This window comes from Homo sapiens, chromosome 16 (genome assembly GCF_000001405.40).
Source record: "Homo sapiens chromosome 16, GRCh38.p14 Primary Assembly".
In the NCBI taxonomy this organism is placed as follows: Eukaryota; Metazoa; Chordata; class Mammalia; order Primates; family Hominidae; genus Homo; species Homo sapiens.
In genome coordinates this window covers 20,672,376-20,699,485 of record NC_000016.10, presented here as the reverse complement: position 1 = coordinate 20,699,485, position 27,110 = coordinate 20,672,376, and the positions used below count along the sequence as shown (strand labels likewise).

General features: G+C 40.9%; 2 protein-coding genes across 40 annotated transcripts in view, besides 1 other annotated feature; one reads left to right on the top strand and one right to left on the bottom strand.

Moving 5' to 3' along the window:
• The window catches only part of ACSM3 (acyl-CoA synthetase medium chain family member 3), a 123,177-nt gene extending 98,096 nt beyond the window's left edge, over positions 1-25,081 (bottom strand). For 17 of the 23 annotated variants that reach the window (XM_024450368.2, XM_047434435.1, XM_047434438.1 and 14 more), the window contains exons 1-2: positions 24,664-24,986; positions 20,037-20,328 (exon numbers count right to left, since the gene is read on the bottom strand). The gene's annotated coding sequence lies outside the window, so the exon portion shown is untranslated. Of the gene's footprint in view, positions 1-20,036; positions 20,329-24,663; positions 24,987-25,008 lie in introns of those variants that run through there. The other 6 variants (XM_047434440.1, XM_047434432.1, XM_047434433.1 and 3 more) reach the window with 3 other exon arrangements.
• Positions 1,806-27,110, top strand: part of ACSM1 (acyl-CoA synthetase medium chain family member 1) — a 74,446-nt gene continuing 49,141 nt past the window's right edge. For 11 of the 17 annotated variants that reach the window (XR_007064850.1, XM_011545730.4, XM_006721017.4 and 8 more), the window contains exons 1-3: positions 8,230-8,489; positions 14,083-14,293; positions 17,023-17,230. Coding sequence is in view for 12 of the 17 variants with exons in the window: in XM_011545730.4 (XP_011544032.1) it covers positions 8,298-8,489; positions 14,083-14,293; positions 17,023-17,230 (611 nt within the window). In the remaining 5 variants the exon portion in view is untranslated. Of the gene's footprint in view, positions 1,851-8,229; positions 8,490-14,082; positions 14,294-17,022; positions 17,231-23,147; positions 23,362-25,385; positions 25,451-25,479; positions 26,335-27,110 lie in introns of those variants that run through there. The other 6 variants (NM_001318890.3, NR_134918.2, XM_011545732.3 and 3 more) reach the window with 6 other exon arrangements.
• Positions 16,663-17,164: an enhancer, noted in NCBI's record as "NANOG hESC enhancer chr16:20693644-20694145 (GRCh37/hg19 assembly coordinates)". NCBI's record gives its function as "activates a minimal SCP1, AML or CMV promoter by ChIP-STARR-seq in naive H9 embryonic stem cells {active_cell/tissue: H9 hESC(naive)}" and the evidence as "EXISTENCE:reporter gene assay evidence [ECO:0000049][PMID:30033119]".

Genomic DNA, 27,110 nt, shown 5'->3' with positions numbered 1-27,110 from the left:
AGTGACTGGCCACAGAAAGCTAAATATTAAAAACCCAAACTATCCTAGCTTGCCACACGGTCCTGTCAGGAATGTCCTGGGTGTCTCCAGAAATCTTTAGCCATGACTTTGATCAGAAATAATTTCTTCCCAGCTTCAATGAAAATACTGGAGATCCCTCATTCTCTAACAATGCCCCAAAAATGGCTCCAGTAGAAAAGTCATAGTACAAGCCGCTACCTATGACTACCTTGGTTTATCCAATGCAATATCACTATCAACCCTCCATCTAAATGCCTGGTCCAGGTGCTTTACAGGCTTGGTGTCACATAATCCTTTCAATGATCCCATGCAACAAATCTTATTAACAAATCCTGCTTCATTTTACAAATGTCAAGACCAAGCTTTGAAAGGAAAATGGTTCACCCAAGAGCTTTCTTGTGAGTGCCTGAGGTTGGACTTAATTAAGCTCAAGACTTTGGGATTCCAAAGACCCTGCATTTTACCAGGATACCAAATTGTTCCTCTGAGAATCCCAAGTGAATAAAAAGAGCCAACATCGACTATGCCCAGCACCGTGTGCTACATGCTTTTTATAAATTATTTCATCTAGTTCTAACAAACAAATGAAGAAGCAAAGAAAACACCCTGGGAGGTAGGTATTGTTGTTATCATTCCTATTTTACAAATAAGGTAGGTGTTGGGTGCTGTGGCTCATGCCTGTAATCCCAGCACTTTAGGAGGCTGAGGCGGGCAGATCACCTGAGGTCAAGAGCTCAAGACCACCCTGGCCAACATGATGAAACCCTGTCTCTATTAAAAATACAAAAATTAACTGGGTGTGGTGGCGGGCACCTATAATCCCAGCTACTTGGGAGGCTGAGGCAAGAGACTCAATTAAACCTGGGAGGCGGAGGTTGCAGTGAGCCAAGACCATGCCATTGCATTCCAGCCTGGGTGACAGCATGAGATTCTGTCTCAAAAGCAACCGAAAACCAATTAAGGGAGGTGAGGCCCAGAGCAAGAAGGTCCACAAAGATGACATGGAGGTTAAGTGGCAGACCTAAGGCTCAAACTCAGACCTTTCTGCCTCCAGACCTCCAGAGCCCAGGCTCTTATCCATTAGGCTACACTGACTCTCAGCTGTCATTTAAGGGAGACTATGGTGATGTAGGGCTGGGAAGGGGGAGCAGGTTAGCCACAGAGAACTAGTGAAAATGCACCATTGGATCTAGTTCATTCACACCCCTAGCCATGCCACCGGAATTGGAGGTGACTTCGTATACGTGGTTTGTTTTTCTTTTTTTTTTTTTTTTTGAGACAGAGTCTCTGTCTCCCAGGCTGGAGTGCAGTGGCATGATCTCGGCTCACTGCAAGCTCCGCCTCCCGTGTTCACGCCATTCTCCTGCCTCAGCCTCCCGAGTAGCTGGGACTACAGGCGCCCACCACCACACCCGGCTAATTTTTTGTATTTTTAGTAGAGACGGGGTTTCACCGTGTTAGCCAGGATGGTCTCCATCTCCTGACCTCGTGATCCGCCCGCCTCGGCCTCCCAATGTGCTGGGATTACAGGCGCGAGCCACTGCGCCCGGCCCACATGGTTTGTTTTCTAAGTGATTATCTCTCCGTGGAGGCCTGTAATTGTTTCTGTCCTATTTTACCTGAGCATCTCCTCCCCCTACTGAATTACCCAATTCCTAACAAGTTCTCTGTTCAAGGTCCCCCTTCGCTGTGGCCAGAAGCCAAGTTCTGCTGGGTGCACAATCCTGCGGATCACCTGATCAGAGAGAACTGAACCTACAAAAGAGAGCTCAACCTCCTTTTCCATACCTACCAGGGACCTAGTTCAGCTACGTCCTAAACAGTACCAGGTAAGACAGAGGTGAAGGTCAGCTTCTATCTGTGTGTGTGTGTGTGTGTGTGTGTGTGTGTGTGTGTGTGTGTGTGTGTAATCCAATTTTAAGTTCTGGCAATGCTACTTTTAAGTTGAGTGACCTTGGGCAAGTCACTTAACTTCTTGGCACTTCATTTTAGAGGCAAAATGACAATGGTGATATTGGGTGAGAGGAATAAATAGGAACGTACATGTAATATGTTTAGCACAGTGGCTGGCATGTAAATGGGGACTGGTTTAGTGTCAGGCAGCTCTGAATGTGGTGAGCCGTGGGAGACAGGCACAAAGTCAGAGATGAATGTTTGAAGGAAATCTTTTCTATCTATGCAGAAGTTGGCTCACTTTCTATAAAGTGAATGCCTTCTAAAAAAAATTATCCAAGCATAGTAATACATGCCTGTGGTCCCAGGTACTTGAAAGGCTGAGGCAGGAGGATGACTGTAGCCCAGGAGATTGAGGCTGCAGTGAGCTATGATCACACCACTGCACTCCAGTCCAGGTGACAGTTTCAAAAAAAATGGTTAACATCTAATGGGGAGGGGGTTGGCTTCAGAATTTGCTGGGAGTTAAAAGGTACCTCAACATTTATTGAGTCCTTACCGTGCACTTCATTCAGTGCCAGCAAGTAAATTATCACACTAATCCTTATGGGGAGCTGGGAAGAAGGTATTACTACTGTGCGCTTAAGTTCAGAGACATGAACAGCACCAAAGACCCAGCTGCTAGACAACAGAGACAAACATCTAGCCCTGGCTCTGTAACTCTGGGATACCCTATAACACAGTAAGTATGTTGCTTCATTAAATAGCTTTATCAGTCCCAAGTCCTGTGAAGTCAAAGCTTAGTTGCAGGAGCTGTTCAAGGCACTATGTATCTGGGAATACAGTGGGGAGCCCAGCTGCCTCTCAAAGCTACCATGTCAAATTGCTTTCAGAATGCACTTTAAGCAGTTCAGAAAATTGTTCTTTAAAATGATTTCATAGGATGTGCTTTAATGATATGCTCTAACAGGGTAGGAACTCTTTCAGTTTAATTAATCTCCAATAGTATCTAAAACTGTACATGGTACATCTATAGTAAATACTTGAGAAAGAAAAAATACATTTTTCTATAACTCAGATAATTTGTGGGCACACTGGCTTTTCTCTTTCTGACTTTCATCACTCAGTTTTCTGAATTATGACAAAGAAGGGAAGAATCTAACTTTTTGTTGAGCACTTACTATGTCCAGCACGGTGAGAAATAGACAAACTAAGCTTTGTGAAGTCAAATCTGAAGACAGATGTGGATGGAAATAGATATCGAAACAGAGACAGAGACGGAGATAGAGATAGAGACAGAGATAGTGATAGAGATAGAGACATGCATCACTTAACAACCAAGATACGTCTGAGAAATGCATTGTTAGGTGATTTTGTTATTATGGGAACTCATAGAGTGTACTTACACAAACCCACAAAGCATAGTCTTCTACACATATAGGCGATATGCTATAGCCCATTGCTTCTAGGCTACAAACCTATGTAGCTTGTTGCTGTATTAAATACTGTAGGCAGTCATGACACGATGGTAAGTACTTGTGTATTGAAACATAGAAAAGGTACAGTAGAAATATGTCATTATAATTGTATGGGCCACTCTGTATATGTGATCCATCACTGACAATGACATCATATTGTGGCACATGACTACAGTGTACATGTGTTATTGTTATAGACATTAATATTAATGTATAGATATACACAGATAGTGATATAGGTATAAATGTAAATATTGGTATATAGATACAGAAATAGATTTAGAAATGAAGCTTAACATACATACAGAGATAGAGATAGACGCAGACATAGACATATAGATATCTGATTTTCAGTCCTCAACACTTGGAGATCAGGTTCTTATATATCTAGATAGATAGATAGATAGATAGATGATAGATAGATAGAAAATAGGTAATAGGTAGATAGATAGACGATAGATACATAATAGATAGGTAATAGATAGATAAATAGATGATAGATAGATAATAGATAGGTAATAGATAGATAGATAGATAGACAGATAATCAGTGAAAAAGCTGGACATATACCAGTCCTATGGTGTCTATGTTCAGGTATTCATCCCCATTCCTTCTCTTTAGACCTTAACTCCAAAAGTTAAGGAAATTTTTTTCCTCTGGCTTAACTACTCTATAAGAGCTTCCCTATAAAGTGTGTTAACTAGCAACAGCTCTTATTTCTAAAATACTTGTCCGTGCTGAATGCTTTTTGCAGGATATCGTGCATTTATCACCATGGCTTCAGGCAATAGGTGCTGCCAATATGCCTATGTTTTTATAGGGAGGTTAAATAAATTGCCCCAAGTTATGTGGGTGGGAAATGAAAGTGCTGGAATTTGAGCCCGTGTTGTTTGATCTCTAGGGCCATGCTGTTTCAGCTACCACAGTTCTCCACAGCTGGGCACTGTGTTTGGCCCTCTCATGTGACGAAGATTAAATTAGAATCACAAACACATTTGTGAGATGATGCCAAAGTCATTTCTTCTTTATTTGATCAAGAGGAGTACATTGGTTTGCTAGGGCTGCCATGAAAATTACTAATGACTGAGTGGTTTAAACAACAGAAATTGATTTTCTCAAAGTTCTGAAGGCTGGAGGTCCAAGATCAGGGTGGTTTTCTCTGAGGTCTTTTTCCTTGGCTATCTTCATATTCACATGGTCTCCCTCTGTGTGTGTCTGTGTCCTAATCTCCTCTTTTTATAAGGACACCAGTCATATTGGATTAGGGCCCACCCTAATAACTCATTTTAACTTAATTACATTTTTAAAGACCCAATCTCCAAATACAGTGGTGTTCTGAAATATTGGGGTTCGTACTTCACCACATACATTCATGGGGGACACAGTTCAAACCATGATAACTGGTTAATGGATTCCCTCACTATATCTCTCCCTTTTGTTTTGGTCTTTAGTCACTTAGTAAGGGGTTGTTTGGACTGTCTTCAGGAAAAATGGTGAGTTTGTATTTTAAGGAAGACCCTGAGGTCATATAGACACCTGCATAGAAAAATTGCAACTGAGTTTGATATTCTCACCCAAACTAAGCTCATGCCTGTGGAAGGAGGTGTGTGTTGGAAAATGTAACAGAGGTGATGGGCTTCTAGAACCAACTTGGCTACAATATTGTTTGAAATGTTTGTTCCTTGGTGCCGTAAAGAAATAGGACTTGAATGTAAATTTAATTTACTCAGCAAGGCCATTTTTACTTCCTGCAGAAATGGTACACTTGCCAGCAGTTTTGCCAGGAGAGTACATAGAACAAAGGAGACAGGGTCATTTATAACCTGACGCATCCACCCTACTGCTGTGTCCGGTTTCCACTGGCTGGAACGGGACCTCACATTCTGTATTTGTCCCGATTGGCTAGCAACTTAGAACTTTTTTAAAGAGGCAAAGGTAGAGGAGAACAAAGGAAAGAGGAAGTAACTCGTGAAATGCTGAGAAAGATTAAAACACTTTTAAATAAGCAAGAGGAACAGGCTATGGCCTAATGCTTGCTTGGACCAGTATAAGAATGCCAGGGCAAATATTTAGGCTAAATTGTGGGAGCTAAGAACATAAAGTACATTGATTTCTTTATTACGGTTAGCAGATATTTAAGAATCTTAGCACAGGACTTTGAATAAATTTTGCTTTTAAGAGAAGTTACTATTTATTCCTAATTAGATGGGGAGGAAAGTCTTTGAAGAGGAACCTCTATTTTACTTTTTACAATATTAAAATTGCATCATGACTTTGGGGAAATTCCTGCCTCTCCTGGGATGTTGGCCTAGGTTAGAGATTTTAAGCTCAAATATACACAGGGGCTGGACAGCTACAATAAGTGGAGAAGCAGGCAGGAGGGACAAAATAAAGTGGTAGGAACTGCATCAAACTGGAGAACATCTCATTTAAATAAAGCAGACAATTCTCAGCTCCAGCCACTTGACAACAAGTTGAAATAAAGACCCAGCATCACTGGCCATTACTAGTTCTATTGTCTATTATATGGGTCTGTTGTCAGCCGGTATTTTATCATTGTTGAAAGTGAGCAAGAGGGAACTTAAATGTTCATGATGATAAAGTGCTTCAATCTCAAAGCTGTTTGAGAAATAGCTTTCTTCAGTCAACATTTACATGGAAAGAAAGGATCCAGCTTAAGCCATTTTTTCCAATCAAACTTCAAGAAGGATCCTAATAAAGGAGGTTCCTGCTGTCATGTTGGCAGCATATTTCAGGATCTGAAGGGGCAATGAGGTTTAATTTTATGTGTCAACTCTGATGCATTGGTATCAGCTGTCCTGAATGCTACTCTAGGGAAGAACTCAATGCCACATCCCAGTCCATTGGAAAGTGCAGTGACATTAGCAGTGAGGACTAAGATCTGAATTTTTTTTTTTTTTTTTGAGACGGAATTTTGCTCTGTTGCCCAGGCTTCAGTGCAGTGGCATGATCTCGGCTCACTGCAACCTCCGACTCCCAGGTTCAAGTGATTCTCCTGCCTCAGCCTCACCAGTAGCTGGGACTACAGGCAGGCACTTCCATGCCTGGCTAATTTTTCAAATTTTTAGTAGAGACAGGGTTTCATCATGTTAGCCAGGATGGTCTCAAACTCCTGACCTCATGATCCACCTGCCTCAGCCTCCCAAAGGGCTGGGATTATAGGCATGAGCCACTGTGCCTGGCCTAAGCTCTAATTTTTTATCTTGCTGAAATTCCTATCTAAGGGGCTTAGGGAGTTATGCCCTACAAACCATAAATTCTCATCAGATGGGTTTTATTTAACCCTGTATATCAAGACTTACTTTCCAATCAGACTCTGGCATAACAAGAAGAAAATCAAAATGTTTTACCCAAAAATATATTTCCTTGCCATACCTTGAAATTGCCCTGCAAAGTCTCTTGTAGGAAAAATCCACATTCTATAAAGAACCCCATTTCCTCTTTGTTTTCTTTCCTTCCTTCCCAGATCCAGGAGACAATCAACTAAGAGCCACATACCCTTTTAGGTCTAAGACATATTTTACAACCTGCTCTCTCTCTGACGTCTGGTGTCTGAGAGATACCGGTGCACAATAAAACTTGGTCTCCACAAAGCTTTACCTTAACCTGAACATTCCTTGCCATTAATCCCAGGTCTTCAAATAAACTCACCCAATTGTCAGCCACAAAATGTTTAAATTTACCTATAGCCTGGAAGCCCCCACTTTAGGTTTTCCCACCTTTCTGAACCAAGCCAACACAGTTCTTAAATGTATTTAATTAATGTCTCATGCCTTCCTAAAGTATATAAAACCAAGCCGTACCCCAACCACCTTGGCCACATAGTCTCAGGATTTCCTGAGGGCTGTGTCACGGGCCAGGTTCACTCATATTTGGCTCAGAATAAATCTCTTCAAATATTTTACAGAGTTTAACTCTTTTTGTCAACAGCAGCATCTGCTCTGAGGATGATGGTGTATATTTTTCAGTATCTTTATAGTCTCAAGTGACAGAAACCCAGTCTCAGGCAAAGGAGAATCTTTTGGCTTACAGAATCCAGAGAATATTAACAAGACAGGGGCAGACATGCAGAGGAACAATTTGAACCAGGGACTTGAATGACTGCAGGATTCTTACTCCACCTCATCTCATTGTTTCTGTACATCAGTTTCATTCTCGCCTGTAGGGGGGCTGTCTCCACATGATAGGAATCATAACCACAAACAGCACACAAAATGTGCATTCCACCAGAGGGAGACAGCCTGATATATTTAAATCTGTTTAGAAACACACACACACACACACACACACACACACACACACACACACACACACACACACATTGGAGAGGTATTATGATTGGCCCAGCTTAGGTTACAAAGTCATGAGAAATGACTGCTCAACCCTGGACCAATCAACTTTAGTCATGGGATGGGATCATATAAAGATATCACAGCTTCCATGGCAACAACATGATTTGGCTTGGCAGAAAGGGAAGTTTCTAAAGTAAAGACACTATAAGGTACAGAACTTTCCAAAAGGCGAGTTGCTCTACCACAAAAGGGATGACCATATGGCTTCCATCCTGGGCTGACATCTTAGCAGGTTGAAGGAGAAGACCCCTAGGAACGCGCACCAAACCCATAATAGTAGCTATATAACCTCCCCAGCGTTTTCTGCCATGTGGTTCCTCAGCTGGGAAGATAAATCCCCACCAAAATCAATCAGGGGTGCCTTCCAAATTCTGGTGACCTGAAACAAAGCTATAACTGTAGCAATTAACCAAAAACATGCACCCAATTTAGGGAGAAAGTTTTGGATACACAGCCAATCTATTAGCCATCTCTTCCCAAGGCAGGTGGTGACTTGAGAACTCTGTGCCTGGTTTCTGAGGACTGTTTCACCATGCAGTGGCTAATGAGGTTCCGGACCCTCTGGGGCATCCACAAATCCTTCCACAACATCCACCCTGCCCCTTCACAGCTGCGCTGCCGGTCTTTATCAGAATTTGGAGCCCCAAGATGGAATGACTATGAAGTACCGGAGGAATTTAACTTTGCAAGTTATGTACTGGACTACTGGGCTCAAAAGGAGAAGGTAAGAGATCTGCCGTGATGGCGATATAAGAACAAGGGTGGCCTCACTTTCCTTATCTTGCTCCTACTAGGCTGAAAGGTATGGAACCAAAGTTACTTCTGCCTCAACTTATCAGTGTTGTGGAAGAAGCTTATATTTCAAGGTTCTATTCCCAGCCTGGCCATTTCCTTACTTCATTGAGCCTCAGTGGTTTCATCTATGAAATGAGGAATTAACTCCTTTAAAAACAAGAAAATAGGTAAATATATCTTTTATTCAATCAGGGTACTATAATTGTGACCAGGTGCAAAGTTCTAGTCACAAGGTCAGCAAATTCGTATTAGTCTGAGTTCTCATCTTCAGTGAATGGGACAATGTGTCTTAACTGGTATTCATGTCATCAAACTTGGGCTTGACTTGAGACTGCATGCAGAGGAGGGGATAGACCACCTGAATGTGCACATGAGTGTCTGACACATTTACCTATGTTAGGCCATCCATCTTCCCATGAGGATGGCAAGTCTAATTAGATTCCTCCTTGTCAACTACCTACTTGACTGTGGCTTTAAGGTATGTCAAGAAAAACCAAGCCCTGTGTCTTCCAGAGGTTATGTGTTTCTGCAGAAAACCCCAAGTGCTTGGTTTGTCTTCTCACAAGACACAGACCAAGAGAGAAGCAGTAGTGACATTAGGAGTCAGGTAGACAATGGATGGTATTTATAGCCACTAACTCCCAGCTGCCAATATGGTAGTGTAAAAAGTCACCCAGCACTGTCTTTGTACAGAAGAGAGAATCCCCCTGAGATGGAATTGGAGAGTTAATATAATTTTTAAGTGTTCCATGAATATGTATTCATGTATTACTATCCAAAGCCTACATGCCTTTATGGCATCTTCCTCCCCACCACCTTCTTTTTCTTTTCTCTGAATTTGCATAGTAACCTCAAGAAAAATAAAACCCTCAGTTACAGAGAGCATTGTTATGTGCCTTGGCAATCACCTTGCATTTAATCATCTAATTAGATGTGTACTGTTATTGTCTCTATTTCCTTAATGAAGAAACTGAGGTTCCAAGGATTTAATGAATATACTGAAATCACATGTCTAATAAGTGGGAGAGCAGGGTTTGGGTCCAGGCTGTCTGATTTCACAATCCATTATTTAACCTAGTCTCCCAATCTGATGATGCCAAAATATCTCTGCCTTAAGAGTATAAATTCATTTTTTTCATTGCCCAGACTGGAAATCTGGTTGAGAATTTTTGAAACAAGATGGGTTGGAGAGGAAGGAAGTAAAAGGAGGAGGTGAATGGGTGAACATTACTATATAAATTTGAGTAATATAAATGCAATTTTGTTTTTCAAAATTAATATTAAACTATAAGCATTTTATTATAAAAACAATTCTAAAAGTTTTTCATTGATTTTATCATATTCAATCACATAGAAGTAGCTTAATTTTTGCAGACAGCATGTAGTTGGATTTTTTTTTTATCCATTCTGCCAATCTATGTCTTTTGACTGGGGAGTTTAGTCCACTTACATTTAAAGTAACTACTGACAGGCAAGGATTTACTATTGCCATTTTGGTAATTGTTTTCTTGATGTCTTATAGCTTTTCTGTCTCTCATTTCCTCTCTTACTGACATCTTTTGTGTTTACTTGAGTTTTTGTAGTGACACACTTTGATTTTCTTCTCATTTCCTTTTGTGTATATTCAATAAATATTTGCCTTGTGGTTACCATGGGAATTAAATATGATATCTTGTAGTTCTAGCAATCTATTTAATACTGATAACAACTTAATTTTAATCACATACAAAAACCCTACTCCCATGACATTATAAGGCCAATAATGAAAATTAAATGTAAAAATCCTTCCCCTTTACAGTTCTATCCCAGCCAGCCCCTCCCCACACTTTATGTTATTGATGTCATCAATAACATTTTTGTATATTGCTTAATTAACATTTATTTAACATAGATATTGTAAATATATGTTAACATATATTAATATATAATATAATATATTAACATATTAAATATATGTTAATAAGTTAACATATATTTATAATTATTTTTATGATTTGTTTTTTAAATACTGTAACAAATAACAAGTGGAGTTACAAACCAAACTTATAATAATATTGATTTTTATATTTGTCCATGAATTTATATTTACAAGAGAACTTTACATTTTCATATTTGAGTTCCTCTCCAGCATTCTTTTATTTCACCTTGAGGACTTCCTTTAGCATTTCTTGTAGGGGCAAGTCTAGGGATAGTGAACTTTGACTTTTGTTTATCTGGGAATACCCTAATTTCCCCTTTACTTTTGAAGAATCTTTCTGGATGTAAAATTCTTGGTTGGCTTTTTTTTTCTTTAAGCCCTTTAAATATATCATCCACTTCTTTCTGGCCTCAAGGTTTCTACTGAGAAATCCACTGATAATCTTATTGAGAATCTCTTGTACATGAGTTGCTTTTCTCTTGCTGATTTCAGTTTAATTATAATGTGTCTTGATATTGGTCCTCCTTGGATTTATTCTACTTGAGGTTTATTGAGCTTCTCATATTTGTATTACCATGCATTGTCTCAAATTTGGGGATCATGGGGCCAATATTTCTTCCAATAACCTCTATGCCCATTTCTTTCTCTTTCTTTTTCTAGAATGCCCAAAATGGGTATATTGGTTGGCTTGATAGTGTCCTATAATTCCCTCAAACTCTGTTTATTTTTCTTCCTTCTTTTTAACTTTTTCTTCTCAGATTCAGTAATTTTAAATGACCTGTCTATGTTTATGGATTTTTTCTTCTACCTATTTGAATCTGCCATTGAACCCCTAGTGAATTTTCAATTTAGTTACTATGTTTATTTAGTTACTATATTTTTCAGCTCCAAATATTGTTTGGTTCTTTCTTTTTTTTTTTTTTGAGACAGAGTTTTGCTTAGTCTCCCAGGCTGGAGCGCAGTGGCACGATCTCAGCTCACTGCAATCTCCACCTCCTGGGTTCAAGCAATTCTCCTGCCTCAGCCTCCTGAGTAGCTGGGATTACAGGTGCATGCAACTATGCCTGGCTTATCTTTTGTACTTTTAATAGAGATGGGGTTTTGCCGTGTTGGCCAGGCTGGTCTCAAACTCCTGACCTCAAGTGATCCGGTAGCCTCGGCCTCCCAAAGTGCTGGGTTTACAGGCATGAGCCACCGTGCCTGGCCGGGTTCTTTTTTAATATATAGTTTCTATCTTTTTGTTGGTATTGTTATTTTGTTCATATATAGTTTTTCTAATTTCCTTTAGGTGTGGATCTGTGGTTTCCTTTAGCTCTTTGAGCATATTTAAGACAATTGATTTAAAATCTTTGCCTAGTAGCTGAATCCTGTGTTTATTTAGGGTTTGTTTCTGGAGATTTATTTTGCTCCCTTGAATGAGCCATGTTTTCCTGCTCCTTTGTGTGCTTTATGTTTTTATGTTGAAAGTTAGGCATTTGAAAAAAGCAGCCCCCCTCTCTCAGTCTTGAAGAGCAGCTGCATGCAGGGGTAGACCTTCACTAATCTTCATAGTGTGAAGGCTTTAGGCCTTCTCAGGCCTTTTCTAGCATTTATCTTTCCTTGGCCTCTGTGTGTGCATCCCGCCCCACCTCGCTAATTTTCCCGTATAAATGGCTGTTTTAATTTCTTAATTTCCCTAAAAGTCTCTTCCTTGCTTCTCTTCAGGGTCTTACATGTTTTATTGTATTTCTCTTTCCCCTACGTGCCTGCAGGTCTGATGTTTTTGCACAGCCTGTTACCCACCACTGCTTTCAGAGACCCCCAACATCATATTCAAATTATGCCATGGTTTCTATCTGACCTGCAAGTCAGGCAAGACAGAAGCCAGTCCCTCCGCAACCCTTGGACAAGCCAGAACATTGTAAACAAGTTTCACTCCTTTCCTTCAGTCCTGAGAGAAGAGGTGGGAGTTGGGGGGCTTCCTCTTGACTGCACCGCACCACACCAGAAAGAGATGGGGGCAATGGTGACCAAAAAAAAAAAAAAAAAATCACAAAATTTTCTACCATTTTGAGTATGGCTTTTTCATTTTTTTCCTTTTTAAATTTTTAATCATACGTATTTAAGGTGTACAACATGATGTCTTCTTGTACATATACTACTGCAGTCATACCAATTAACATGTTAATCACTTTCCATAGTTAAACTTTTTTTTTTTCTTTTTTGAGACAGGGTCTCATTCTGTCTCCCAGGCTGGAATGCAGTGGCACAATCACTGTAGCCTGAAACTGGGCTCAGGCTATCCTCCTGCCTCAGCCTCCCAAGTAGCTGGGACCACAGGTGTGTGCCACCTCGCCTGGCTCTATATTTAGCTTTTATTTATTTATTTTTATTTTACTTTAAGTTCCGGGATACAAGTGCAGAACATGTAGGTTTGTTATGTAGGTATATGCGTGTCATGGTGGTTTTCTGCACCTATCAACTGGTCATCTAGGTTTTAAACCCCGCATGCATTAGCTATTTGTCCTAATGCTCTCCCTCCCATGGCCCCTGACCCGTCAGACTGGCCCCAGTGTGTGTTGTTCCCCTGCCTGTGTAAGTGGGAATTGAGTATGGCTTTTTCATGACTGGGGGCATTTGTTTGGTTTTCTGCAGATCCTTGGCTGGTTTCTAGACCTCCCATGAAGCTATTTCAGTCCATCTGTTGTTTCTGTAGGTAGAATCTTGCTGTTTCTATGAGGCAAAAAAGGGCCTGGAGCTTCCTAGTCTGCTTTGTTACTGCCCTCACCTCTAAGAGTAACTTAATTAAAAAAATTTTTTTCAAAAATTTAGCAATTAAGTAAGCCTCTTTTGTTTTGTTTTATTGTGATAATAATAATATTTATTGAGCATTTACTATGTGACAGGCACTCTTACATGCTTTATGTAAATAACTTATTTAAACTTTGCTACTTTCTAGGTAATAATTATTGTCAGCATTTTATTGAGGAGAAACTAAGGCACAGAGAAGAATGCACAGTCCATATGGAATTAAGGCAGGCATGTGGTGGAATGGAGTTTTAAATCTTCAATAGGAAGCATAAAGGCTGTTTATGGTCTTATGTGGCTTGAGGCAGGGTGGCTACAGTAGGCCAGAAGTCCCGCTCCACCCCTAAACCTCTCCTGATGCTATAAGTTTTTTGTTTTTTTTTTGTTTGTTTTTTTTTTTTGAGACGGAGTCTCACTGTGTCATCCAGGCTGGAGTGCAATGGTGCAATCTTGGCTCACTGCAACCTCTGCCTCCTGGGTTCAAGCAATTCTCCTACCTCAGCCTCCTGAATAGCTGAGATTACAGGCATGCACCACCATGCCCAGCTAATTTTTAAATTTTTAGTAGAGACAGGGTTTCACCATGTTGGTCAGGCTGGTCTCGAACTCCTGACCTCATGATCAACCTGCCTCCACCTCCTAAAGTACTGGAATTACAAGCATGAGCCACTGCGCCTGGCTGTATAAATGTTTTAAAATGGGATCTCAGTCCTTAAGCTGTGTTCACATTGGAACGTGACTATGGCTGTGGATTAGTTTACTAAGTGCCCTTTTTCTTTGAAGCAGAAAATAACACATAATATATGGTCTTGACCAGGAGGGCAAGAGAGGTCCAAATCCAGCTTTTTGGTGGGTGAATGGCCAAGGGGATGAAGTAAAGTGGAGCTTCAGAGAGATGGGAGACCTAACCCGCCGTGTAGCCAACGTCTTCACACAGACCTGTGGCCTACAACAGGGAGACCATCTGGCCTTGATGCTGCCTCGAGTTCCTGAGTGGTGGCTGGTGGCTGTGGGCTGCATGCGAACAGGTCAGTGATGCAAGAGGGACCTGGTGGACCTCGGGGCTGTTCTAGAACCAATGGGTCCTGAGATATTAGGTGCTGTGCACCCAGCCTGGCACTGACACAGCTTTGAAGCCTTCGCCCCAGTTTCTGTGCTGGGACCACAAAGCAAGGCTTCCTGCCCTGTGGGAATTATCAGTTTAATTAGAGACAAAACAATTTCTCTTCTCTGTACCTCCTTTCTTCTTCACAGTCTTTGTCTTTCTCATACTCCCTCACAAATTCTCTTATTCTCTCCCTCACACTCTCACATTCATACACTCTCAAGTGCAGTGCCAAACTTTGTCTCATACACACACACACACAAACACACATACACTTTCTCTTGCACAGCCTCAGAGAGTCTTACTTTTTTAAAGATTCATTGATAATGTTTTTCCATATTTGAGCACTCTCTCCCTCTCTCTTTCTCTCCCTTTCTTACTGAATTATTTAAGAATCACTAGTGGGCATTGTGACACCTATGAACACCAGGTAAACACTCATAAACACAAAAGCAGGCATCTGATAAGATCCAAAATATTCCACAGCCTTTTCTGCATGACAGTGACATTTTTGAAGAATGCAAGTTGTATTGTAGAATATATCTCCAAATTTGTATTTCTGACTCTTTCTTTGTGATTATATTCAGATTAGACACGTTAGGCAGGAGAATTGCAAGGACAAAGTTGTGTCTTCCTCTGTGCATCACATCAGGGGGTATATTCTGAAGTCAGTTTGTTCCCTCTTCAGTTATACTGTTTTATCACTTAAGCAAGGTGGTTTTCACAGAAAACCTTTATCCTTTACAAAGGCACAATTTTTCCTTGTAATTAATAAATAATTCATTGTGTGATCCTTAAGCGATTGTGTGAATATTCCTATTCCCTAACATTCTTTCACATTATGGTTTGAGTACCTAGTGATGATTCTTTACCTAATTGAATATTACCATGTTGGTTTTACATGGAAATTTTCTATTTCTGTCAGTTTCATTTATTAGTTAGAATTCTTATGTAGAGATTTCCCTTCCCCTTTTGATGACTTATTTTTTGTCTATATAGATTAGAATCAGTGACTCACAGATTCTTTTTTGAATCACTTCTCTCATTTTATCATGTGTACAGCACTCTGCCATACTCTTGATCATATTTTCTCTCTCTCCGTCTCATATTCTCTCACAAATAAAATAGGTGATTCATTCAGCCAGATCATGTGAAATCAAGAAGTAATAAAACTGGTGGAAGGAGTATAGAGATGAAAAGCCATGTCATCTGTAGACCTATAAGATGGTCCATGGGAAATCTAAGACTTGGCCTGGGTGGTGGCTTAGGCCTATAATACCAGCACTTTGGGAGGCTGAGGTGGGTGGATCATGAGGTCAGGAGATCGAGACCATCCTGGCCAACATGGTGAAACCCCATCTCTACTAAAATACAAAAAGAAAGAAAGAAAGAAAGAAAGAGAGAGAGAGAGAGAAAGAAAGAAAGAATTAGCCAGGCGTGGTGGCAAGACTCTCAAAAAAAAAAAAAAAGACTTGAGCTGAGCCCTCTGGGCTAAGAAGAATTAAAGAGGATTAGAAACAAAGGAAGGACATTCCAAGCATGGGGTGAGGCATGGCCATTTTGAAATAGAAAATAAGGTGTAGGGGAGAAAGATGGAAAGAAAGCAGCATCTTCAAAGTCAGGACGAGAAGTGTGGTGTTTTCCTGGAGAGAGGGTACAGGTGTTAGTGCAGAGAAGAAATGTAGGGAGGCCAGGCATGGTGGCTCACAGCTGTAATCCCAGCACTTTGGGAGGCTAAGGCAGACAGATCACTTGTGGTCAGAAGTCCAAGACCATCCTGGCCAACCTGGTGAAAACCTATCTCTACTAAAAATAATAATAATAATAAAAAATAGCTGGGCATGGTGGTGGACACCTTTAATCCCAGCTGCTGGAGAGGCTGAGACAGGACAATTGCTTGAACCCAGGAGGCTGAGGTTGCAGTGAGCTCAGATCACACCACTGCACTCCAGCCTGGGTGACAGGGGGAGACTCCACCTTAAAAAAAAATAAATAAATAAAAGAAAAAAAGAAATTCAGAGGAAAAAAAAGTCAATGTTTATGGAACTAAGCAAATAATAATATGGAAGATGGGTAGCAGGAAGATTCAAAACTGGTGGAGGGATGAGAATCCAGAAGGAAACACAAAGGCTTGAGCTCACTGTTGGCAATGGAGATAGAAGGGAATGCAAAAAACTCAAAGGACAATGTGGTGAAATACAGAATGAAGGAAAGAGGGGACATTCAAGATGACATCCAAGGAATGACAGAAAGGGGAAAAGGAAGGGAAAGATGGGGGAGAGATGCAGCTATTCTTGATGTCAGAGACACTGTTCTGTTTACATCTATACTTCCAGATCCTGTGTAAATGTGTGTAAAGCAGTGTCCACCCATTTTTTGGCTAGATCCATTTACAGTAGAAAAGATTAGGGCAGGGCTTACAAATTTTAGTGCAAAAGAATCACTTGGAAAACTTGTTAAGATGCAGATTCTGATTCTGTAGGTTTGAAACAGGGTGTGAGATTCTGCATCCTGGATAGTGCTGCTGCTGTTGTTCTGTGGCCTGTACTTTACATAACAAGAAGTTAGGGTATTTCGATGCAGACAAGCCAAGTCTAAAGCCCATGGTTGTGAAAAAGAAACCAAAACAATCAGTTCCTTTCTCATCCCCAGGGATCATCTTCATTCCTGCGACCATCCTGTTGAAGGCCAAAGACATTCTCTATCGACTACAGTTGTCTAAAGCCAAGGGCATTGTGACCATAGATGCCCTTGCCTCAGAGGTGGACTCCATAGCTTCTCAGTGCCCCTCTCTGAAAACCAAGCTCCTGGTGTCTGATCACAGCCGTGAAGGGTGGCTGGACTTCCGATCGCTGGTTAAGTGAGTCTCTGGTCTGATGAATATAATCTCTGAGTACAGTTGTTGTGGGATAATTTAGGAATCAGAGAGACCAGTGGGGTTGAGGAGGATGTATTTATTATTTAGGTGCACCAGCCCAGTCAGATTAACATCCAAAGGACTGAGCCCTGAACAAAGAGTCAGGTTACCTTTTAAGCATTTCATGGGGTGAGAGGGGAGATCTGTGCAGGGGGAAGCTTACTACAGAAGTGAGAAACAAAGACAGTTATTCAGTTGAGACATGTATTACATCATTTCTTACTTTTCAAGGAAAAACATGTTTTACAACTTGAGTTTATCTGTCTAGTGACCATGCAGCTGCACAGCTGGAGAAACAGGGTCTTCACAATGCCTGGGAAAGGGAGAGATAAGGCTCACTAGCTACAGACGGAAAAACAGGCAGTGAATTTTTAAAGGACTCCACCTCTTTCTCTTCCTCAGGAGGAATTGGGTTTCCCTACATACAATTGAGTTTTTGCTTATGCATTCTTTAATTTCTTTTAATTCCTGTTCCATTTCCCCCCTTTGTTGCTTTTTATAACAAAGGTGTTAATAGAAAGCACCACTATTTGCCACCTCTTCACAGAGCTGAGCTTCTTCTACTGGCAGTGGCTGATATTTGGTTAATGCCATCAACTGTGCGGTAGTGTGTTGAGTTATTACTGCCTCTATAGTTGACTGAATCCTCCTAATAAACAGGGGTAAAAGGTAAGGGAGGATGAGGCAGATGCCAAGAATAAACAAAAACCCACCAGTGAGGGTTTTGAATCCTCCAAAGGTTGAGAACCATCCTCCAAACAAAGAATCCAGGGACCATTAGGACCAAGTCTGAATTGGAACATGGGCCAACTTGTGCATTCTAGCTCTGATTTCCATGACAACCCGGCCATTATTAGCAATTTCTAGGCAACAGTTGGTTAAATTAAATTTTCCACATACTCTTCCTTCAGAGGCTAAGTGATAATCTAATGCCAATCTATTTCAATATATAGCATTTCTCATTTGTGTTGCTTGTATTGCCAATAAATCTAGTGCCCTTGATGTTTCATTGGTTATAATTTCAAAGACTGCCTGCAACCTTATGATGCAGTTGAGCATATAGATTGGGGTGTGGTAACCCCATGACCCATCTTGCACCCAGGTAGCTGGCCAATAATATTTAATTATTCTTTCAGGAGGCCATTCATTATCTTTCCAGTCTCCTATGTCCACATCCTTTTTGACATTTGTGTCTATTTTTGTGATTATGCTCTTCTAGTTCTTCTTTTATTTTCATCATCAACTGGATACCATAAGAGTTCCCCTTGCTTTAGAGGAATTAGAAAGAAGAATGGCTTGATTGTTACTACACACATGCTCCTGTCCATTTAGCTGGCAGTTGCCAATATGCCCATGCTCCACAGATCCAATATAGGCCAGAGGGTGCTTTCGAAGCATTTGGAACCTCTAGTTGATGCCAAGTGTGGCTTAGGGTAGAGAATGGAGATAAAGGATTTGGATCTGGTAAGTAGGAGTAATTCTGGGTGCTTCTCCATAGAGTTTTGTTTTTAGTCTCATCATAATACTGTTGCCCTAGGCAGGTTATTTCTCCTACTGCCTCTGTGAAAGCCTTTCCCCAACGGGCGATACGGTACTTTCCAATTATGGAGGTTTTTAACAACCAAACACTGGCTGAGGCTGTTGGTTCACTGGCAGGGTTAAGCGAAGTGAAGTTATCTTGTGGCATTAATTCCTTTGCCTCCCATGGCCACTGGTTCCCCATATTAGTTCCTCCACGTACATAGCATGAGGAAATTCCTAAGCTGCCAGCTATGTTTTCAGCTAGTTGAGCAAATAAGTTTTTGGTTGGTGGGGGAAGCTCAGGCACTGGCTTATCCAAATGCTTATAGAATGATTATGGACCCAGAATTGCGGGGTTGGATGCATTTGAGTCCTTTTAGTCTTTTTGACAATTAGTAGTGGAACTCCAAGGCCTGCTCCTAGTCTATCAAGTCGTTATAGTGCTGTCTGTCCTGTAGACCAGAAAGGTATCTCTGGCTTTAAGATAGTAAAATGTAAAGGATTGCATGTTCTTGTCTTACAGTTTGGTTTGGTTAACATACTACTTAGCAGAGCACTCCTTCCTGAATATAAATATTGGAGTTGTGTTAGTGTGGACCACTGAATGTTACAGTCTGGGCATCCGATTTGTGGTTCTTTGTACAGATGCTTAGGGCTGCTCCTGCTAAGCCTCTCTTGTGTTACACCATTGCAGACTGCTTCTGTTTTTTTTTAGGATTGTGAACATATGCAGCATAGCAGGCATCAAAGTACAAGGAAATAGGCCCTTTACAGGAGGGAGGGGCTTCTTTTGTTCGAGCTATAACTCTCCTTCTTTTTCTCCCTCTGATTTAATATGTATTTCAAACCAGAATTCATAGGGTAAGAGCTTAGGGTCATAACATACATATAGCTGATTATTTCCTGGGTCACAGACCGAATAGGTGGTCTGGTTGTATGTGCAGGTTCCTAACTTGGTTCCTGTACTGTAGGTATGGTACAGTAGAGTTTTAACTATGGTATTCCTTACCCAGGTAGTATGTACACAGTGTGGGCATCCTTCTAGAGATTTCTCCCCTTCTAGTATAGGCAGAAATGGTAACAACATTAGTGTATGTAATAGAAACATGCTTACACTACACATAGGAATGGCAAACCTTCCTCTGGGCATGGACATTTGCAGCATTTGCAGTAATAATGTAACAACAGAACAATTATAACTAGGCTTATAAATTTTATCTACATTTACTTATCTAGAGATGGTCCTCTTAGCTTCGGCTGTGTGTAGACTAGTCAGCTTCCAGGATGTGACTAGAGCAGAGCTTGCAAGATCTTCAAGCTTCAGCCATGTGTAGACTGACCAGCCTCCAGTGTGGTCAGAGCAGGGCAGTTGTCCTTCTTACTGGTGGTTGGGATTCGCCGTAGGTCTATTCGGGTGGGGCAATCAGGGTCTTGTTGGTTAATCCACTGGTCATAGTCGGGAGTCACTGCTGCTGCTAGTTTCAGCCAGCTATGGTGAATCCAAGGTGTGACACCTGCAACTTTAACAGCAGTAGAAGTAGACATGATTACAATATGAGGCCTATCCTGTATGGGTCCTAGAGTGGTTGGATTCCATTTTTTAACTTAAAGAAAATCCTTAGGTTTGAAAGGGTGTACTGGGTCTGTTAGACTTATAGGCATTTTTCTATACCTAGCCATGCATTTTTGCATGGCCATACTTAAAGTCTGCATTTGCCTTCTTAAAGTTACTTCTTCTAGTCTACAGATGATGGGGGGTGGCCGGCTGAACAAAATCTCAGAGGGGGAATACCCAGTTTGCTTGGTGGAGGTGCACCTGACTTGGAGGAGGACCATGGGCAAGACCTGATCCTACCTTTGATGAGTTTCTTGACACAATTTCTTCAGCAGTTGTTTTAGTGTCTGGTTCATGCTCTTCGCTTTACCTGAGCTCTGCAGTCTGTAGGCTATATGTTATTTCCATTTTATTTTTAATAGTCAAGTTAAGTCCTGAACTATTTCAGCCACAAATGTTGGTCCATTGTGAGATCTTAGAGTTAGAGGCAGTCCAAATCTGGGAATAATGTCTTTTAACAACACTTTGGTCACCTCTAGTTCCTTCTCTGTCCCGGTGAGGAAGGCCTTGACTTATCCTGAAAAGGTGAACACCAACATGTACTGATAGCCCCCATCACAGGGTAATTCGGTGAAGTTCATAAGCAGTTTTTCACATGGCATGGCTTCTGTTTCCTGAACTCCTGGGGGTGGAGTAAGCCCTTGTCATGGATTGTTCTGAACACAAGTTAAATATTGTTCATTTACAAATGGCTTGAGTAATAGCAGTGAGCCATGGCACATAGAAATGATGCCTTAATAATGTCTTTAGTGCTGTTTTTTTGTGTGTTTTTTTTTCAGGTCAGTTCCTTGGTGGAACTGTTTTACAAATCTGGGGGCCACCGTTTCAGGGATGGCTAGCCTCCCACTGGAAAATTTTTACTATCCTTCTTCAATGTAGTTGATATTTTTCTGGGCAAAACAAGCCCTTTCATTTGGAGTGTAGCTTGGGATCTACAGAAGGGGAATCTCTGGGAGGAGAGGCATAGCTAAGGCTTCTTCTTTAGAAGGTGGGGTTGTCCTGCTTTGCCTCTTTGTCTCATTTATTTATTTATTTATTTATTTATTTATTTTAGCCTTTAGTATTCTTCCTTTATGGTGCCCCTTGCAGTGCATCTCTGCCACATCTTTTAAGGCCTATACAGCATTTAAGAGCTGTAGAATTTCTTCCTTGTACTTTATTTCTTTACTTTCAGCAGTTAAAAGCCTTTTTTTTCTTTGTAAATAGCCTCATGAACATGGAAAGTGTCAGAAGCATATTTGGAATCTGTGTAAATATTTGTCTTTTGGTCTTTTGCTAGCCAGAGAGCTCTTGTCAGAGCTATTAGCTCTGCTTTCTAAGCAGAAGTTTCTGTAGGCAAAGACTGCACCTCTACTACTGAGTCCAAAGTCACCACTGCATACCCAGCTCAGCAGATTCCCTTTCGTATGAAACTGCTTCCATCAGTAAAATATTCTATGTCTGGCTCCCCAAGGGGCCTATCTGTCAAATCTCTCTGGCTTGAGAACACTTCATCTATCACATTTACACAGCAATGAAGGGGGTCTCCTGGTACTGACTTGATGAGGAGCAAGGTAGCCGGGTTTAGGGTATTCACAGTCTCTAAAGTTAGTTTGTTAGCTTATTGAGCCAGTAGGGCAGTGGCAGCTATTGCTTTAAAACAAGGAGGCCAGTGAAGTGCCACAGAATCTAATTGCCTGGATAAGTATGTCACTGGGTGATGCCATGACCTTATGGCTTGAGTTAGAACCTTCATGGCCTCCCTTTCACTTATGGGCATACAAGAAGATAAGCTTAGTTAGTTAGATCTGGCAGTCCTAAAGCTGGGGCCTGAGTCAAGGCTTTTTTTTTTTTTTTAATTTCTTTAAAAGTCTTCTCCTGGTTAGCCTCCTAGAGGAGGGGCTCTTTCTTTCCTTCTCTTTGTGGCTTAGCCATAAGCTAGAAATTTGGGATCTAAATGCAGCAGAACCTTGCTGCCCTTAGGAACTCTCTTATTTGACACCAGGTGGTTGGAGTAGGAAGTGCACAAACAGATTGCTTTTGTTTACTACTAAGCCATCTTTCCTCTTGGCTTATATAAAGGCTTAAATACTGGAGACTTTTAGAGCAGATTTGAGCTTTTTTCTGACACTTTATGTCCTGCCTTTCACAGCAGGTGCAGGGAGTCTTGGGTTTCTCCTGGGTGCAGTAGCCCTTGGCTGGAGGGTTTTTTTTTATACCATGGCCTTGACCATTCTCCTTATTTTATTTATTTATTTTTTGGGGCATTTATTCTTCTAGTGTCATTTCCTTTTGCACCGTGCACATTAATCTCTCTCTAGCCTTGGCCAGCTTTCAAACTCCTGTCCAAACCAGCCTTTTCCATGACTGTGTTCACGCCCACGACCATGCCTCCTTGCAAAGCCAGCTTCTCTTCCCATAAGGGCTGCTGCTAGTAAATTAGCCTTTGTTAAGCCTCTGATCAGCTTTCTTCTCTGCCTCCTGAACTCAGTTAATGTACACCTTGTAACCACTTTAATAAGCTGAGTTGCATTCACACCTACGGAGCTTCTAACTTCTGCAATTTGTGCCTGATATCTCCTTGGGCCTGCCTTACAAATGCTGTGTCCACCATGCACTGATTTTCAGCAGCCTTAGGGTTAAACAGAGTGTACAACCAAAATGCCTCAAAAAGTCTTTCTTAAAACTGGCTGGTGCTTTTATCTGCACCCTGGAGCACCTCTGAGATTTTTTATATTGGTTGCCTTTTTCTTTTACCAGCCTTTAGCCTTTGCAGAAGGGCTTCTTGGCACTTTTGTAGGTGCTGAAGCTGGACTGCATCATCTGGGTCCTAGTGGGTGTCCTCTTGTCCTCTTAAGAGGCATAAGCATAACTTGGGCGTGACCAGACCTGAGACACCCTCCCTGACTTTTCCAGCCTTTCACTTTAACTTCCTGGAGCTCTAATTTCTCCTTCTCAGGTGAGACTGGGAGCCTGTATCTCTTTGAACTTAATTCCTTAGGGGCAGTTAGCCTTGGTAAAGGGAGGTAGATTGGAATGTAGGGAGGAGGGGTCTCTATTCCCTCCTGTGGTTCTTGCAAAACTGGTTTTCTCTTTCCTGAGACTTTTCTTTTGTCTCCGTAGTTGCCAGGGCAGCTGATTTTTACTTTTACTTTTGGCTTTCACTTTTCACTTTTGGTGCTACAAGCCTCTGTGACTTTACCTTTAACTCCGTAGCCGCCAGCGCAGCTGGTTTCTCTGGGTGTGAGCTGTGAACGTTCTACAATAAACTGCTAGGCAGGGCTGCATTCATTTAGCCATGAATCAATATAAAGACTAGGTCTGAATGCCCTGGCTGTCTTCCAGGGCTAGTCACTACCTTAAAACACACAGCCAATTTACCTATAGTGCCATTGGTCAGCCATCCATCACTAAAAGAGGGCTATTCTAATTCACAGTATGTCCTTAACTTTTGAACATCCAGTTTCATCCCATAATCAGCTCTAAATCCTTTTTAAAAATTCTTTATCATGCACTCCAAAAGGAGTTGGTTTCCATGCTTTTCCTCCCATTTCCTCCCTTGAGGTGCACTTTCACTCTAAGGTCCACCAGACTGGGTCCTATTACAGGAGTTTCAGACGCTGCTTAGCCAGGAACGTGCCTTTCCCTGCCACAGACTGCTGCAGCTGTGAAGCTCAACCTATCAGCCATATGCAACATCCTAGGACTGATTTCCCCCACACTCGCCTGGGAGCACACAGCCTGCGCTAAGGGATCTGTGCCTCCCCACATTACTCCCCGCATTGGCCTCTCCTGAGACCGTCTCTTTCACACACTTTCACACACCTCCCTTGCCTCAGGACTCCTCATCGGACAAAACAACCCTCTCTCGTGTCCCGGGTGAGCCTAGTTAGATTCCCACATTCACACACATACACACACCACTTCTACCCCAGGACTCTTCATCAGAGGAAACGAACCTCTCTGGTGTCCTGGGTAGGTCCGCACACACCCACACACTCCCAGTTGGGGTGGCAAGCCACTCTTACCATTCTGCCAGCAAACTCTTCCTTGCTGCACTTGCCGCTGTATCGGCCCATTTTCTCCACCAGTGAACCACTTTCACTTTGTTAGGGGGACACGAGGTTCATCCAAATTGGCGGGCCACTCCTGCCACCCCCAGCCACTCTGGGTTGGATGAGTGGTTGGTCCCTGGGAGGTGATCAAGCTCACCTTCATCCCTATGGGATGGGCTTTCCTACCTTGGGCCCTTTCTCCTTACCGCGGTTCCTGAAGTGCTGGTGTCATCCTGCAGCCCCATCTCAGGTTCAGTTGCACTGCTGGGCAGGATGCGGGGAGAGCCAGTCTCCATCCGGGTGAAACTCCCCCATGGCATGCCTTGGATGCCAGGTCTTCCACAGCCCCAGGGCCCTAGTCCCATGGGCAAAGGAGACAGTAAATCTGTTATCTCCAATCCCCATATGGGCCACCAGAAATGTTTGGGGATGATTTAGGAATCAGAGAGACCGATGGGGTTGAGGAGGATATATGTATTATTTAGGTGCACCAGCCAACCCAGTCAGATTAATATCCAAAGGACTGAGCCCAGAACAAAGAGTCAGGTTACCTTTTAAGCATTTTGGGGGTGGAGAGGGGGGAGGGAGAGATCTGTTCAGGGGGAAGCATATTACAGAAGTGAGAAACAAAGACAGTTATTCAATTGAGACATGCATTACATCATTTCTTACTTTTCAAGGAAAAACATGTTTTGCAACTTGGGTTTATCTGTCTAGTGACCTTGCAGCTGCACAGCTAGAGAAACAGGGTCTTCACAATGCCTGGGAAAGGGAGAGATAAGGCTCACTAGCCACAGACAGAGAAACAGGCAGTTAATTTTTAAAGGACTCCACCTCTTTCTCTTCCTCTGGGGCAACTGGGTTTTCTTACATACAACTGAGTTTTTGCTTACACATTCTTTAATTTCTTTTAATTCCTGTTCCACAGGTAGAAGAATGCCATTCACTCCCAAGTGGTGAGAGACAAGCAGCCAGTGGTAGGAAGGTCATCAAGTCAGTTGTCAGAAACCTCACTTATGTCACTGTTTTGCTATGTGACCCTGACCTAGTTCCTTGCCCTCTCTTGATCTCAGTTGCTTTATCTGTAAAATTTCACATTTTTCAGCAAGTCAACCTTCCATGTTCCTCTCATTAAAATATACTCACCCCTGGGACTGTGCAAAGGAGATTTGTAAAGTCAGGGGGTTATTGTGTTACATATTCCTTGTAGGTGGGAAACCTAAAGTCTTATTTTTCTATTAAAAATATATGAAGTAGTTGAATGAAAGGTTAAAATGAATTTTTAAGGTAAAACTTAAGACCCCAAGAAAAATGGAATTGCCAACTATGGCTTATAGGTAGCTTTGGGAGCAAACTCTTTCCATCTCCCAGGGACTGGGTGCCTTCAGAGACACCTGGGGGCAAAGTGAAGGAAGGCTGGAGATAAGAAAGGCCCCTTCTGCCTCCAAAACTCTGATTCTGTAAGCCTTCAGTCATGTCTCACATTATACACACAAACCATGCTGGGTTTGTTTTCTTGGAGTAATACTTGAGTTTTTAAAGCTCTTTATTTCAACCCCAAAAGGCAAACATTACAGCAAAGTCACATCTTATGCTGTAGTCTAATGTCAGAGAATTTAATTAAAACAGAGTACTCTTGAAAAATCCCTCGAATTTCCCAAAGTCAGTATGATACCATTTCACAGCAAGACCAGCAGACCTAGTGTTTCCTCTCGTGTTGGGATTATTTGCAGTTGCTTTGAACACCATAGAAGCCTTGCATTTACAATTGTAGTAGGCCCAAGGCCCTCTCAGTCCAGGGGAAGCTCCTGAGAAACAAGAGAGACTGAGGGAACCACAGATCTTATCTGCCATCTCAAGCTCATGCTAGGGCAGAGGTACATTGATCGCAGTAATTTTATATATAATATATATATAATATGCAAATTTATATATAAGTATAATTTATATATAAGTATATATATCATATAATTATATGTATATATGACATGTAAGTGTATATAATATATGACATATAAGTATATATTTTATATATTTATGTATAATTTTATATATAAATTTTATATATGAGATATAATATATAAATGTTTTTATATATTTATATGTAATATGTTTTATATATATTTATATTTATTATATATTATATATATTTATATTTATATATTATATATTACATATATTATATATTTATATTTTTATATATTATATAATATATATTATATATTATACATATTTTGTACATAATTTATATATAAGCATAATTTATATATAAGCATAAATATTATATATAACTTACATATACTTACATATACATGTATATGTATATATATACTTATATATAAATTATATACAATATATACTATATGATATATATTATATATACTTATATATAAATTATATATCCTATAATTATATTTATATATGACATGTAAGTATATATTATATATGACATAAAAGTATATATTTTATATATTTATATATAATTTTATATATAAATTTAATATATGATATATAATATATAAATATGTTTTTTATATATATATATATATATATATATTTTTTTTTTTTTTTTTTTTTTTTGAGATGGAGTTTTGCTCTGTCACCCAGGCTGGAGTGTAGTGGTTTGATCTCGGCTCACTGCAAGCTCAGCCTC